This window comes from Homo sapiens, chromosome 7 (genome assembly GCF_000001405.40).
Source record: "Homo sapiens chromosome 7, GRCh38.p14 Primary Assembly".
Classification (NCBI taxonomy): Eukaryota; Metazoa; Chordata; class Mammalia; order Primates; family Hominidae; genus Homo; species Homo sapiens.
Window position 1 is genome coordinate 132,929,192 of NC_000007.14, and position 14,829 is coordinate 132,944,020.

At 39.0% G+C, this 14,829-nt stretch overlaps 1 protein-coding gene across 4 annotated transcripts in view, besides 1 other annotated feature; it reads right to left on the reverse strand.

Annotated features, from left to right (window-relative positions):
• The window catches only part of CHCHD3 (coiled-coil-helix-coiled-coil-helix domain containing 3), a 297,221-nt gene that overhangs the window by 144,322 nt on the left and 138,070 nt on the right, over positions 1 to 14,829 (reverse strand). The gene's annotated exons all lie outside the window — the stretch shown is intronic.
• Positions 1,718 to 2,012: an enhancer, noted in NCBI's record as "tiled region #15449; HepG2 Activating non-DNase unmatched - State 13:Ctcf". NCBI's record gives its function as "activates a minimal TATA promoter and a strong SV40 promoter by Sharpr-MPRA in HepG2 cells {active_cell/tissue: HepG2}" and the evidence as "EXISTENCE:reporter gene assay evidence [ECO:0000049][PMID:27701403]".

A 14,829-nucleotide genomic window follows, 5' to 3' on the forward strand; every position in this document is an offset into this window, starting at 1 on the left:
ATGTATGTTACAAATGATAGCAACTGATGGTTCAACCAGTTTCTCACTGAGGCTCATTTCACTGGCTGTCTCTGGAAACTTCACCTCTGACGGATCCCTCACTTCTTGACTCTCTCTCTCTCTCTTTTGTTGGCTGCTTGAACACTCATGGTTCATCCTCCATCTGCCTTGCAGATGGCTCCTGCATAGTCTCCCATGCAACTCTTTCTCAGCCTGCTGCTTACAGGTAAGTATTCTCCAAAATTCTGCCCTTGTCTTCTTTCTTCTCTCCACATACTATTTCTTGGCAATCTCACCCATTCCCAGAGCTTCATCTCTTTGAGAAGGATTCCCATAACTCTCTCTATTCCTGGCTGCTCTCCCTAGTTCCAGACATATGTTTCCAACTTATTTAATGAACACAGCTACAAGAATATCCTGAAGGGACCTCAAACACAGCAATATGAAACATAACTTGTCCTTAACCCAATCTAAAGCTGTCAATATCTTGCTAGTCACTGAGCTCCACACTGCAGTCATCTTTTACTTCTTGCCATACTCCATGACCAGGGCTATGGTGGGCCCAGAGAGACAGGAAGAGAATTCATGAGTGGGCACAGGAAGCTTTCCTTTATGGTAAAGGGGTAGATGCTTGAGAGCTGAGAGGCGTCTTTCCTCAGCTTAACATATGAAAGTCACAGAACCTATGGTTCTGATTGCCACGAATATGGCATATTATTTCCTGCATGATGGCTGTAATGACAACAGAATTTTGGATTTACTCTGTGAGAAACTAAGGCAAGAGAAAGCCTTATCCAGTCACTTGGGTCCTTAACTCATTACATACCCTTGGAATTGCTTGTTTGCTGGTTCAAAATAAACCTAAGTGACAGAAATCTTAAACAGAAATGTGATTCTTATCAGTCTTCAAGCCGGAGTAAGCTTTATGGTGTTGCCTAACTCACTTCCTCCTTCTTAACCTCCCACTCCTAATTTTTTTTTTTTTTTTTTTTGAGACAGGAGTCTCGTTCTGTTACCCAGGCTGGAGTGCAGTGGTGCAATCTCCGCTCACTGCAACCTCCACCTCCCTGGTTCAAGCAATTCCCCTGCCTCAGCCTCCCGAGTAGCTGGGATTACAGGGGCATGCCACCATGCCCGGCTAATTTTTTTGTATTTTTGGTAGAGAGTGGGTCTCACCATGTTGGCCAGACTGGTCTCAAACTCCTGACCTCAGGCAATCTGCCCGCCTCAGCCTCCCAAAGTGCTGGGATTACAGGCGTGAGCCACTGCACCTGGCCCCCACTCTTAATTTCATTCCAACCTCAGCAATGTCTCCCACATATAATCTCATCATTTGAATTCCCATGAACAATCCTCGAATGCAGAGTGTTTCCACTTGTTTGGAAGGCTATACCACATTTCTAACATATTTCGCCCTTTCTTCCCCGCTATCCTTTTGCCCAGCAACAATTCCACCAGAGGCAGTTTGGCTGTTCTCTACCCTCCACACCTGTCCTGTTATCAGCCCTCCCTCACCCCAGCACCCTAAGTTCTTGCAACATTAAGTTACTCAACATCCTAAAGTAGAACCCATGTTCTCCCATCGCTATACCTTTTCGATCCAGCTTTTCTCTCAAGATGGATGCCAGACACATTTCAAATCCCTATGCCCCTTGCAGCTCTGACACTTACTCTTCTAAGAAATTGTACCAGGTTTTCTCCTCATTCACCCCTATGGCCCAGTCCCATCTCCAGGGCCTGAATTACTCAGCCCTTTTGCACTTTGTGCTTCTATCTATATGCAGGTATCAGTCTTCTAACTAGAATTTAAGACCCAAGAGAGTTCAAGTTTTGAGGTTGCTTTGTAACCCCGGAAGCACTAATACAGCACTCACCACATAGAGGGCAGCACACTCTTGTGGAAAAACTCCAGAAGTGGAGTAACAAGAGTGACAAGTAGGGATCAAGTCACGATCTACTCACGTATGTTGCAGCAGTGATTTCCATCCAGTTACTGAACTTTTTGATTCGCATTCCCCTCATCAATAAATGTTAAATAATAATTATTAACTTTGGATTTTTCTAAGGACCACATGAGATAACATACATAAAAGTTATTTGGAAAACCAGTACAATGCAAACAAATATAAGACAGTATTGTTATCAAGACATTTTGCACAATGTTTGTTGAAGATTGACCCAAACTTATCTTTCTACAAAAGAAAAATTGCTATAAATGATGAAGTACTTTTCTACAGGAACTAGAAGCAACAAAAACATGAAAGTGGTTTGCTCACTGGTAACAGCTGATCTCGTTAAGGTCACTGTATTGTTTTTCTTATACTAGAACATAAAGCGCTAATCAAAGTATTAAAACTAGATTTTAAAATGCAGTACTTTTTAGCCTTCCGTATAATTTTAGGCATTAATGTGGGTAAACTAATCATTATATTCGATGATGATTACTCAGATGCCTAAATGCTAAGTTACATCTTCAATATCAATGTCAATTAAATGAAATACCTCTTGAAAAAGAATTTATATCATTTTTCTGATTCAACATTAACTATCTACACTCTGACTGACCAGTGTAAATGAGCTTGTAAATTTTAAGTTCTGTAGGAAGAATGGGTTCGATGCTGCCTCCCCTCCCCCTACCCCGACACACACATTTAACACCCTGTCTGCATTACTTCTGAAAAGAAGAAACCCACTGTGCAGCAGGCAGTGGGAAATATAATGCAGCTTTACACTGCATCATGAAAGCAAGAAAACAGCCAGCTGTGAGTCAGAAATAGAACAAAATTTTGAGTTGCAAACCCAAGGGACCTTCAGGTAACATTGGAAGTGCTCCTGAATGATGAATAGTTTATTTTTTTTCAGACCCACTATGGACACTGCAGGATATATTTACCATATTAATTTTTAAGTTTCAAAAGCAATAAACCTGTTGGTCAGATGGAAGCCTGACACTCACAGCAGCTGATCTATCAATCAATCCAACATGGCCGGGCTCTGCCAGCAGCCCCTGACACCAATTAGGAAACTAAAATAGTGAACTGCTGCTACCAGGTTATAGTTTTGCCAATTAGAGCACATCCTGGGTGAGAGAGAGCAATGAACACTAGAACTCAGGGTCAGGAGAGAGAGGTGAAAAGAGCCTCATGTAATGTGACATGAAAAAGAAAGATTGCAGGAGGGACACAGAAAAGAATCAAGACAGTGTGGAATCAAACAGCACATTTTATTGTTCACTTGTCAAACACATGCAGACACTAAGACAAAGCAAAAACAAGGCGCTTCCCTAGGTCTTTACCCTGGAAGGCACTGCTTATTGGCCTACGCAACTTGCCAGCCAATCACTGCCATTCATGCACTCTGAGGCTGCCGTCTCCCACTGTTCCCCTTTAGTGAGGATTCACAAGTTAAGCTGCCGCACACAGGGCCTTCACGTCAAAGGCAGACCACTGATAGACACATATCAAAGTGCTGGAAGGCCAATATTTCAAATCAGGCTCATTATTAGCACATAAACCTTTTTTGCTAAATTTTCTCATTTTTACATCCTACAAAATTGAGGAGACCTCCTTTCAATTTTTCCACCTGAGCTCCTCTTCTAAACCATGACTCAGAGCCCTGACTTATCCAACTTCATAAAATCTAAGGACCTCAAAATCATTCCCCATGAGGCCCTTCATCTAACAACTATTTCCTGCCTCAGAATACCTTCTTTTAATTCCATTTAGAGCTGGCTTTGAAGGGCTCCCAGCTGATCTTGTCTGTTTTGTGTCATCTGAAAAAGAAAATGGCAAAAAGCAAGGCTGACACAAAAAGACCGCCCAGAGTATGAAGTTTTAAACAAGGGTCACCTTCAGATTCAGATGGAAAACCGAGGTCTTGACCAGTTTCATACATTTGTTAAGCAGACTCCGTTCTGAGTTAGATGAAAACAACAGGCAAAAACATCCTGAACGTTAAACAGAACAGTTATTTTGCATCAAGGGCAAAATGCAATTTGCACTTATCAACTGAGTCATATTTGTTGCAACACATTTTCCACAGAATCTAATGGTAATCTCATTATGGTGACTCAAATTTAACTCTGGTTACTCTGCTCTGCTGCTCTCAGTTCTGCCATAGTTTTATAAGAAGGGGCCACGTGATTTCTGATGGTGTGCTCAGCATGCCATACACATCACGAGAAGTATGTATTTCAATGACTATGTGCAAAACATCAGCCAGACTTTATCATAAGGCTCTTCTAAAATGTTCTATGGCCCTAACAACATAAAATAGATTTTCCCTCTAGAATCTCAGCTGCCCTTTGGAATCACTGGAGAGTTTTGAAAAATACTAGGTCCCAATTTGCAGAGATGCTGATTTCACTGGTTGGGAGTGATGTCTGAGAACCAAGATTTCTGTTAAAGATGATCCATAGTCTGACTTAGCCCAAACTTGGGTACCCCCAATCTCATAAATGTACTCGATTAACAAAAAACACCATTAAAAAACTAGATGTCATCTGATCCAATGATAGTACATAACAGAAAACTTTATTACTCACTCAGGCACAGGAAAGGTGAAAAGAATCCCTGGGCAAAGGGGCCCACTGGCAAAAGGGCTCTCATGTCTGAGCAGAAGAAGAGACAATGTGCCAGGTCCTGGGGACACACATACAGGACCAGAGTGTGCCAGTGGGATTTCTTAATAATAATGGGTGAAGGACTTGTTTCAGGTAGCCTATCTGGGTTGTGGGTGGATGTCAAAGGTACAGAAGAAGTTGCCTTGCCTTCAGCCTAAACTTAATGGGTATTGCAGAAGTGAATAAAGCTGGGGCACCTGATGATTTCCACCCTGGCAGATTAAAGGTTTAGCTGAATAGCATTTCACTGGGAGGGACTTACTGGACCTAACTCTCCTTCTCTACAGCAGCCAAGGCTGAGAACCACTACTCAAACTTCTCAAACTTCTGATTTGCCTAAGGATTCACCTGGGGATCTTGTTAAATTGCAGATTCTGCTTCAGTAGGTCCAAGATGGGCTGGAAAGTCCCACTTGTGATAAGTTTCCAGGTGATGCCAATGCTACTGCTCTACACACCGCATTTGGTTCTATTCCTTGAAACATCCTCTCACTGAGTTACAGGCCTTTCACAAATGAAAATCCTATCGTGGTCCTGGGCTCACACATTGAGGATCTCTGGAGGATTTCTATATCCTAGAGAAATTCACAATCCATGGGGTGGGACACAGATAAGCAGGGAAATGCTGCAGTCCACAGTTCTCTATCATCTGACCCCACATCGCTGTTCTTCATATGCTTACCTGATTCTGAAACCAAATATATAGTTATATACCTAGTTGCTTTCGTATTTAATGACCGTCTTTCCCACTAGAATACACACTCCAAGAGAGCAGCGGCCTGTGTATCACATTCCCCATTATAACTCTAGAGCCTGAAACAGGGCCATCATGGAGTAGATACTCAACAAATGTTTGCTTCCTCAAAAAGGACTGAATGAGATGACATGGACACCTTATTTCAAAAGAGCGCTAGGTGATGCCGCTCCTACACTGCTAGTTCATTCTAGGCAAAGACACATGGGGCAATAACCTTAGTCTAGCCTTTTAGCCAGTACTTTGGTAGGTCTGACAAGGGGTACAAGATGATAAAGATGAGACTATTCTGCATCTTCTCAATTTCTATTTATAACACATTTCTTATACTATCTCCCGCACAATATGGAAAAGATACAAGTGGAGAAATAATATTTTTGTACTTCAGTTTCCTTCAGTTGCCATAATGAACATGCCTGGAATAAAAGAGCTTTATAAAAAAAGGGAGGAAGCCTCTGGAAAGACAAGTTCTGAGTATACTCGTGTAATCCAAACTCCACTGGACCCCCAAAGGACCACGATGAAATGGCAAGAGACAGCCTCAGGAAAATTATTAATCCTGCCTCAGAATCCAATCACTCACAAATGCCTACTGGCAAAACTATTCAAGGCCTCACAAAATTAGAAAACTAACAAAATTAGAAGTACAAGTACCTGAGGCAGCACATGAGCAAAAGTAAAACTAGTGGAACACAGATTTCGCTCAGCCACATGAACCCTACAAGGCCAGCACTGACTCTCAGTGATTTTTCAGACTGGAGGTTGCTACCTACTATTGGACTATTATATCATTTTAGCATATCACACTAGCATTTTTAATATGAAAATACAATAAAATAGAAACTTTAAGAAGGCAGAAAACAATAAATCACAAGTAGTAGTACTTCCTATGTATGAATTAAAATCTGTGTGTACTCTGGGTCAGGATGTAAAATATATTCTTGCAGGTTGTAATTTTAAAATTTTTGTAAATATCCATCTATACCAAGAAGGGTCATATTTCATATAGTGCCTATATCTGAACTGGTAATGTTCACAATTATACTAAGAAAACACATTTATACTAAAGAGATGGTTTGGCATAGTAGCCCAGAGCATGAGTCTGGAGCCAAACTGACTGGTGACTCTAGACAAATCACTTCACTTTTCTAAGCTTCCTTTCTATCATAGGGTGTTTAGTCAATTTCTGCTGCTGTAACAGAATACCAAAGACTGGGTAATTTGTAAAGAAAAGAAGTTTGTTTAGCTCATGGTTCTGGAGGTTGCAAAGTCCAAGGGCATGGCGCCAGCATCTGCTTGGCATTTGGTGAGGAGTTTCTTGCTGCATTATCCTTTGGCAGAAGGCAGAAGAGCAAGTGAGCACACAAAACAGAGAGAGGATGGGGGCCAAACTTATCCTTTCATCAGGAGACCATTGCCTGGACAACTGCCTACACCTGAGATAACAGCAGTAATCCATTCACGAGTGCACTGAGAGGCCCACTCTCACAATGGCAATTAAATTTTGATGTGAGTTTTAGAAGGGACATTCTAACCATTGCATAGGCACAAGAATACAACCACCTCATGCTTTAACAATTTAAGAACGTACGTGGAGTTAGTATAGTGCCCGGCATGAGTAAGCACCCGATAAATGACAGGCATTATTGTCCCCTCTTAAATGCAGGTCTAACATGCTTATTTTCCATTATTTCAATGATAAAGTACTAAAGAACAGGGGATAAGATCATTTTCAAGTGAGCAAAAGACTGTAGCTGCTACCAAAGTAAAAACTGAGAAATTCATCTAATTCTGGAAGAGTCCATTTGAAATCAAAAGCTTGCGGTTGCAAAAGGGCAAGAAGGAAGAGCAGTGTACTCATGGAAATGCCACAAAGTTAAGACACAGCAAGGTCAGGGAGCAGAGGTCAATAAAGGCACAAATTAAATTTTCACACCAGCACACCTGAATGTCTTCCTACAACTTGCTCTTCTTTTAAACTGCCTTTTCTATCAGGCCCATAAAAGTATGCAGGACCTTAAGCTTGCCCTATTTCCCAATCTTATTCAAACTGTGAGAAACCACATGCTGTGTTCTTAAGAACCAATTATTAATTAGAAACTCTGGAAAGCTGGACAGCACTCATTATTATTAAACCTAATATCCAAAAAGGATGTGGATAATTACTATATTTGCTTCTCCAACTGGTCTTGATAAAACGTGCTAAAGTTATTCTTGACACAAGTGTCACCAGTGGCAAAGGGCTCAATTTGCTGGCATCTCATCAATAGCATGCTTGAAGCCCCCATTGCTTGCAGTTAAACTAACAGTTTATATTAGGCTAAACACAGTTTGGTAGCCATTGTCAAGAAAATTGGAGTTGCTCAGGCATAGCAGAGTTACTGATGTTATTTGTTTGGAAGCCTTGTGATTTAGTGAATCACTAGCAATTGTTAAGCAAGTAATTAAACTATAAAGCCAAGACCTGTGATTTTCAGTCTTTTCAAAGCAATAATCATCAAAATTCCAAGTACCATTTAACTGATTCCCTTCTTAAACATGCTGGCAACATTTATGTTGCTGTCATTCATTCAGTTGTACAGTTTATAAAAACTAGATTATGGCCTTTATAGAAATTATATACCACTCAACAGCTTTGATAAATATGAGAGGTTTAAAGAAAAAACTCACAAAAAGTAGTGAATGAGAACTGGACATAGAAAGATTTGGATTTGCTCATGTATACAGCTATCTTAGGTTTAATAGCAACTCAAAAAATCCTATTTTTGGGACTGAAATACTAAAATAACTGGACTATTGTTCTTATAACCTTTTCCAAACATAAGAATGCATTATATAAATTTCACAATTCCCCTAAGTGCCTTTAAAATTATAAGCAATTTAGTCTATGATTCATGTACCATACTGACTGCATACAATTTTTTAAACTTCACATCTCAATTATATCTTAATATTATGGGGGCTGGAATGCATTAAATAAATCATATTTCAAAGACTCCTGGTAAAGTAATAATACTTCCATGCATTTTAGAAGAAATTGGCCTGCATTATAATTGTATTCATAATGTCATTACCTGCCTTTCCTCACTGACTGAAATATTAGGCAGCAGTGCCTACTTCAAGCTACTAATGGAAGCTTTCAGAAAATCTTACACTTAGGCTGTGGCTGGCAATTAGCAGTGTTAGTTAATATAATCCAACGTTTACAAACAGCAATTTACCCAATATATAAACCAGCTCTTGTAATTAGTGAAACTTTGTTACTGATTAAGATTTAATATGATGGCTGGTATTTCAGCCTGTGCTACATAAAGAGACTGAACTGATCTTTCATTTGTTAAAAGACATTTCCTTTTCAAAGTACCTTATTACTGTAAGGTGTTTTACTTACAAACATACAGCCATTAAGAAAATTAATTCATTAAAAACCTGTATTACTTAAAAATAATACATGAAGTGTTTCTATAAAATGGCAGGAATTTTAAAACCCCAGCAAATGCCTTCAACAACTTATGAAAATTTATGATATTTTAGAGACCTGCCAAACACAGCTATTGTTCTAATTATTAAATATTACATAGTTGTATCTTTCATTTACATCCCTTCCTAACAACTTACAAGGCACTTTCATCTACATTATACCATATAATGCTCAAAATCATGTTGTGTGGTACATATTGTAGCTATGAATCATACCCTATTTAACAGATGGAAATACTAAGGCTCATTGAGGTTAAATGACTTGCTCAAAGTAAGGCAAATGAGAATAAGGATTCGTAGTCTAGTTTCTTGATTCCAAAGTCAATATTCTTTCCTCTGCACCCAAATGAACACGTAATACATCTATTCCCAAAAGCTGGGGTAAAAACCTTAAGTAACTCACCAAGAAAAGACTGAAACAGTACACAACTTGGAAATGGGTGGTTCCAGAGTCACTTGAAATTTAATTTTGGAAATCAACACAGGCAGCCTAGGCAAGTTCTTATTTAATTCAATACACAGCTAAAGTACATCACCCAGGTAAACTAACTACTCCTTATAATATTGTCTAAGGAAAAGTGCCTATCGAATGGAAATTGGAATGCAAGAAAGCTATCCCCATAAGCCACAGTCCAAACTGACAGCTCTCCTCCACTGGGCTCACACTTTAAACCTGCAGTGTGTCCCCGACACCGGCAACAAGCAAACAGGAAAGGAGAAGGTTCCCAGGACGTTTAGATCTCTGAGCCCTGGGGAGATGAGGAGAAGAGTGCTCCAAGAGGAGATGCGGCTGCGAGGTCTACACAACCCACTGACCCCACTGGGTGTGAAGTTGAGTGCATGTTTGGGAGCAGGGGACACTTGGTAGCAGCAGGTAGTCTATCCCTGGTGAGTGTCATTCTTGATCTCTTACAAGGAAACAGTACCTGCTAAGAAGGTGGAGGGAAAACAATAACCGAATGTACTGGCCCTTAATGAAATCAGTATTCTTTAAAAGAAGAAGATGGCTTTACACTTTTAAATATAGTTACTCCATATAAAACTGGTCTCGGTCAACGATGGAGCACATGTGTGACAGTGGTCCCAGATTACAATGGAGTTGAACATTTCCTATCACACAGTAACTCATAGCTGTTGCAGCACTGTAGCATAATATTTAAAATAAGCTTAATTTAGCATAACTTAAGTATACAATGTTTACAAATTCTATAGTAATAGTATACAACAATGTCCTAGGCCTTCATGTTTACTCATCACTCACTGACTTGCCCAGAGCAACCTCCAGTCCTGCAAGCTCCATTCATGGTAAGAGCCCTATACAAGTATACCATTTTTATCTTTTATGCTATATTTTTACTGTACCTTTATAAATATGTTTAGATACACAAAGAGTTACCATTGTGTTATAATTGTATTAAGTACAGGAATCTGCTACACAGGTTTGTAGCCTAGGAGCAACAGGCTATACTATTTAGCCTAGGTGTGTAGTAGCCGATGCCACCTAGGGTTGTGTAAGTACACTCTCTAGTATTCACACAATGATGCATTTTTCAGAATGTATCTTCTTTGTTATTTATGACTGTACCAAACACTGTTCAGTGACTCTCTAAACATTAAGGAGTCCTTTGAACAAACGAAAATTTGGAAAGGAAGAATGAAGAGGGTGTGTTCAAGTGTCAAAGTAAACAGCCTAGGAAAGAACCTTCCAAGTTCAAATAAACTAGGCGGAAAATGCTGGAAAGACATTTAGGAACAAATGAGTATGTGCTATTCCCATTTACACTAACTGCCATCACAATTTCTTCTGTGATTCAAACTGATTAATCCAAACTTGTTTTCCCCGGAGCCTATCAACTAATAAACAGTCCCTACGGACATATTCTTTTGAGTAAATCTGTTAAACACAGAGCTCCATAAATGTATCACAAGGAAAATTACCTCCTCTAAAAAGCTAGTTATCTAAAAGGCGTGAGTGATCGAAGGAAAAAACATAATACATTTGTCACTCCCATTAGCAATATTAGTGCTAATGAGAAAGTACATGGACAAGAACATACACCTCCTAATTTGAATGTGTTACAAATAAAGACTAGATTAGTCACAGCTACTCAGATGAAATTTTAGCACTTAAGGTTGAAATACTACATGAGGCAATGCTTATAGTGGTTCTGCAGCACAATTTCAGCTACTTAATTACAGTTTCCAAACCATTTAACACCTCTCAGCACACAGAAGCTAGATGTGTATGCATGTGTGCTAGTCAGACAGTTCAAGATTTTAGGTATAACTCAATTATCTGGCATCCCTGGGAAATAAGGTGTTCCATTTAAGTGCATTTTCTATATAACCAAGGCCTATCCCTTGATACACTGTGAATCCCTGATTAAATTTTGTGGCCATCTGTAAGGGAAATCTTTCCTCAGAGTATTTCATTCCCTGCATCCTTACAGGCAATTGGATTGAAAGTGGTGGAGCGGTTCAGGGGTTTGGTTTTGTTGTAGGAATAAACCATGGCCGTCCTTAGGAATATTCACCACTGAAGCACTTTAATATAGTTTCTACTTTTTATATTTTCTCTCTTCCTTCAACGTCTGGCTTTCAGCAGTCATTTTTTCCACTACTGCTGTGATGGCTTCTAACAATCACAAGCCTCCATTATTCACTTCAGTCTAAGAGTTTATTCCATTGACTTGGGTGGAAATAAGTGAGCTTGTTAAGAAAGACATCCTTGACAGGTGTCAATAAAGCTAGGCATGGGGCATCAGGTGGAAAGTACATGGCTTTACTGAACAAGTTTTATTACCATGCAGGAGTGGATGAGTTAAGGTATTGTTCCACCCGCCCTGTCAGTTTTCATTTTTAGTAGAAGAGTCCAGGGGAAATCTTAGATCTTGGACTCTGCATCCAAGATCCAAATTCCAATATAACCCAAGAAGCCACTTTCTCAGTGGCCAGTTTCCTCTCAAAATACTGTAAAACTGATGCTTTCCGATCTTATATGTGCCTGATTTTATTCATTCTTACACAATTCTACCCACTAAAGCATTATGATCTATGTGTTCAATTGTAACAAAAAGGTTATGGTGAGGCAACAGTTCTTTGCATTTCTCTCCTCAAATTTGAGACTATATCCAATGTTAAGAAATAGCTAAATATTGATGATAACAGTTCTTGGATTCATAGTTATCCTTGAAGATAATACTTAAAACAAGGCACTTGATATCTTACAGCTTCATGACAGGGTAGTTCCCTGCAAGGGTGCAGTTACTGCCTAGGCCCCACATGGATGCTATAATCCTCAGGCCATCCTCAGCTACATGACACTGAGGTGCTCCCTACTTCTCAACGGACCCACACTTCAGCTCACAACAATGGCTTTCCTTGTCCTCTTCAAAATACCCCCACTAAGACCATCAGCCACCCACCATAACAGCCATGCCATTCTGACACTTCAAACACCACCACCTTATTTCTGATATTTTTATCCTCCTTTGCAGTCAATGTTTAATTCTCAAACCCTCCACGTTTACCACTTCCTGGTTATACTGGGTTCCTTATATTACTGGCAACACCAAAAATGAGGAACACAATACCGTTGGGTTTTAATACCATCATCTCCCCTGCTTCTCCAACTGCTCCTCTGCTAAGAGCCTGGGATGGCTGAGTGATCTGATGGGGCAGGAGTGCAGTCAGGGAGGCACGGAGCCATTTCTGAAAAGCACAGGACGGGATGGGAGATCAACAACAACAGCTCTTGGGTTCCCAAGTCCACCTGTGGAATCTGTCTGTGGGTCTGCCAGTCCTGATTAACATTGTCAAAAATAACCATAGCAATAGGAATTTAACATAATCATCACAGTTTCAAAGCACTTTCACATATCTCTTCAAACTCTCAAAACAGTTCTCTGAAGTAAGTACCTATGCTCATTTGAAAGATGAGAAAACTGAGATACAAAGACTGGACTGTGCCCAAAGGAATATATTCAGAAAGCAGTAGAGCTAGAAAGCAAATCACTCTAAGTCACGTGACTTCCTGAACTATCCCTGCTGGGTCCCTATACAATTCTAGGCCTATATTCATTGGCTGGAAACATTCAGGAGACAACACACTTCTAATAAGAAAGAGCGGTGGAGAGAGGGAAGGGGCAGAAAGTCACACGGGCAGGAGGAAAGGGGAATACTGTTACAGTCACTAGAAAAACTCTCTACAGTGACTAGTTTATCACCCTTGATACAGACAAGAACACGGGTTGATGTAATTATTGATGATGTGTAACAGTTTAATGGAGTATAAAATATATTCTTTTTTTCATAGTTAGTAAAAGTTGTGGAGTTCTTAATGTTGTCATATCCACACTGAGCATGTATCCTACCCATCCAGACTTTTGACAGAAGCATCAATTTTCTAAATTGTTCTCTAACAACTACAAGTTAAGAAAGAAGAAAATTACTCAGTGTTAATAATTGCAATTCTCTGAAGATTCTAACAGAACCCACTGTAATTTTACATTATTGAATCCTGCGGCTTTATACATTGGAAGAATTTTCTGTTTCTCCTGTGTTTTTATATTAAAAGAAGATATCCATAAGAAATACATTGAAGAGCTAAAAATAATATGATGGGATCTAGACTGGTATTACAGACATGAAGATGCTCTGTGACAACATCTATAAAACATGAATGGAGAAAAACATATAACACAAATGTCCTCTGAAAAAGCACACAAGTAATTCTCTTTGTTCATAATGAAATGAAGAAGAGTTGGCTACAATAAGTTCAAAGGTGAATAAACTAACGTGGTTTGTTAATAAGAAAAGCTACATCCCATGTGCAGCCTACCACTAGGTATCTGGTTTGCTGCAGGAGGTCTCTATTGCTTACAGCATGTCCAACCATGCACAAGTAATAAAGGGTCTGGTTGCAAACAGAGAGAAAGGAACCCAAGCCAACAATGAGAAGAAAAAATAAAGGATAAAAAATAAGCATGAAAAGATCCTATTTTTTGTCTTAACTTAAGCATACTCTAAGAAATAGACCTTTTCATGAATAAACTACCTACTATATCTAAATATTAGAAGCACAAAAATTTCAATTTATACATACATTCCAGATACTGCATAAAGGTATCTAAATGCACAAAGAACAACAAAGAGACTTGAGTATTTAAAATGCTTAATGAAAAGAGACTAATGTTCGTTTTCAAGAACAGATAAATCATACTAGCAAAGAAATGTTGAAAATTAATAGTCATGACTGGGGAATTGCCTTGACAAATATTTTTTGAGTGTAAATATACAATAAATAATAATGTTGTGCTGGTTCAAGAATTGGTAAATATACCAATTGGACAGAATTCAAAGACCAGAAACAGCCTTAATTCTACATGAGAACTTAATATAAAATAGCCAAGACAACTCTAAAGAGAATAGATAAATTACTTATTCAAAAAGCTACTACTGGCAAAACTGTTTAGAAAAAGCTGGTGAGATACCACATGCCAAAATAAACACAAGACTGAATTAAAATTTCATTAGTAAAAAAATTGAAAACAAAAGTACAAATAAAGCAGTGATGACTTAAATAAATTTTAAAGGGAGACAAACCACTCTAAGCATATAGTTACTATAAAAGGAAAAGACTGACAGATTTGACTATCTAAAAGTAAAACTTATATATGCAAACAATGAGGGGGTCTTATAAAAAATATGTTAAGACATTACTGAAAAGGAAAGTTATGAATGAGCAATTCAGGTTAGCCACATATGTCTGGCGATGTCTCTCTATTTCACTATCTGTCTCTTCATCTAAGAACCACAGATAAAAGTGAAATCTTCCTCACTTTCAAACTGATAAATAACAACAGAACTTGTAACACCCAATGCTAATAAGTAGGCAAGTAATTCCCACCACATATTGCTGGTAGGAATATAAACTGATAGAAACTTTCAAGAGAGAAAGTTTTCTCTGTGTGGGC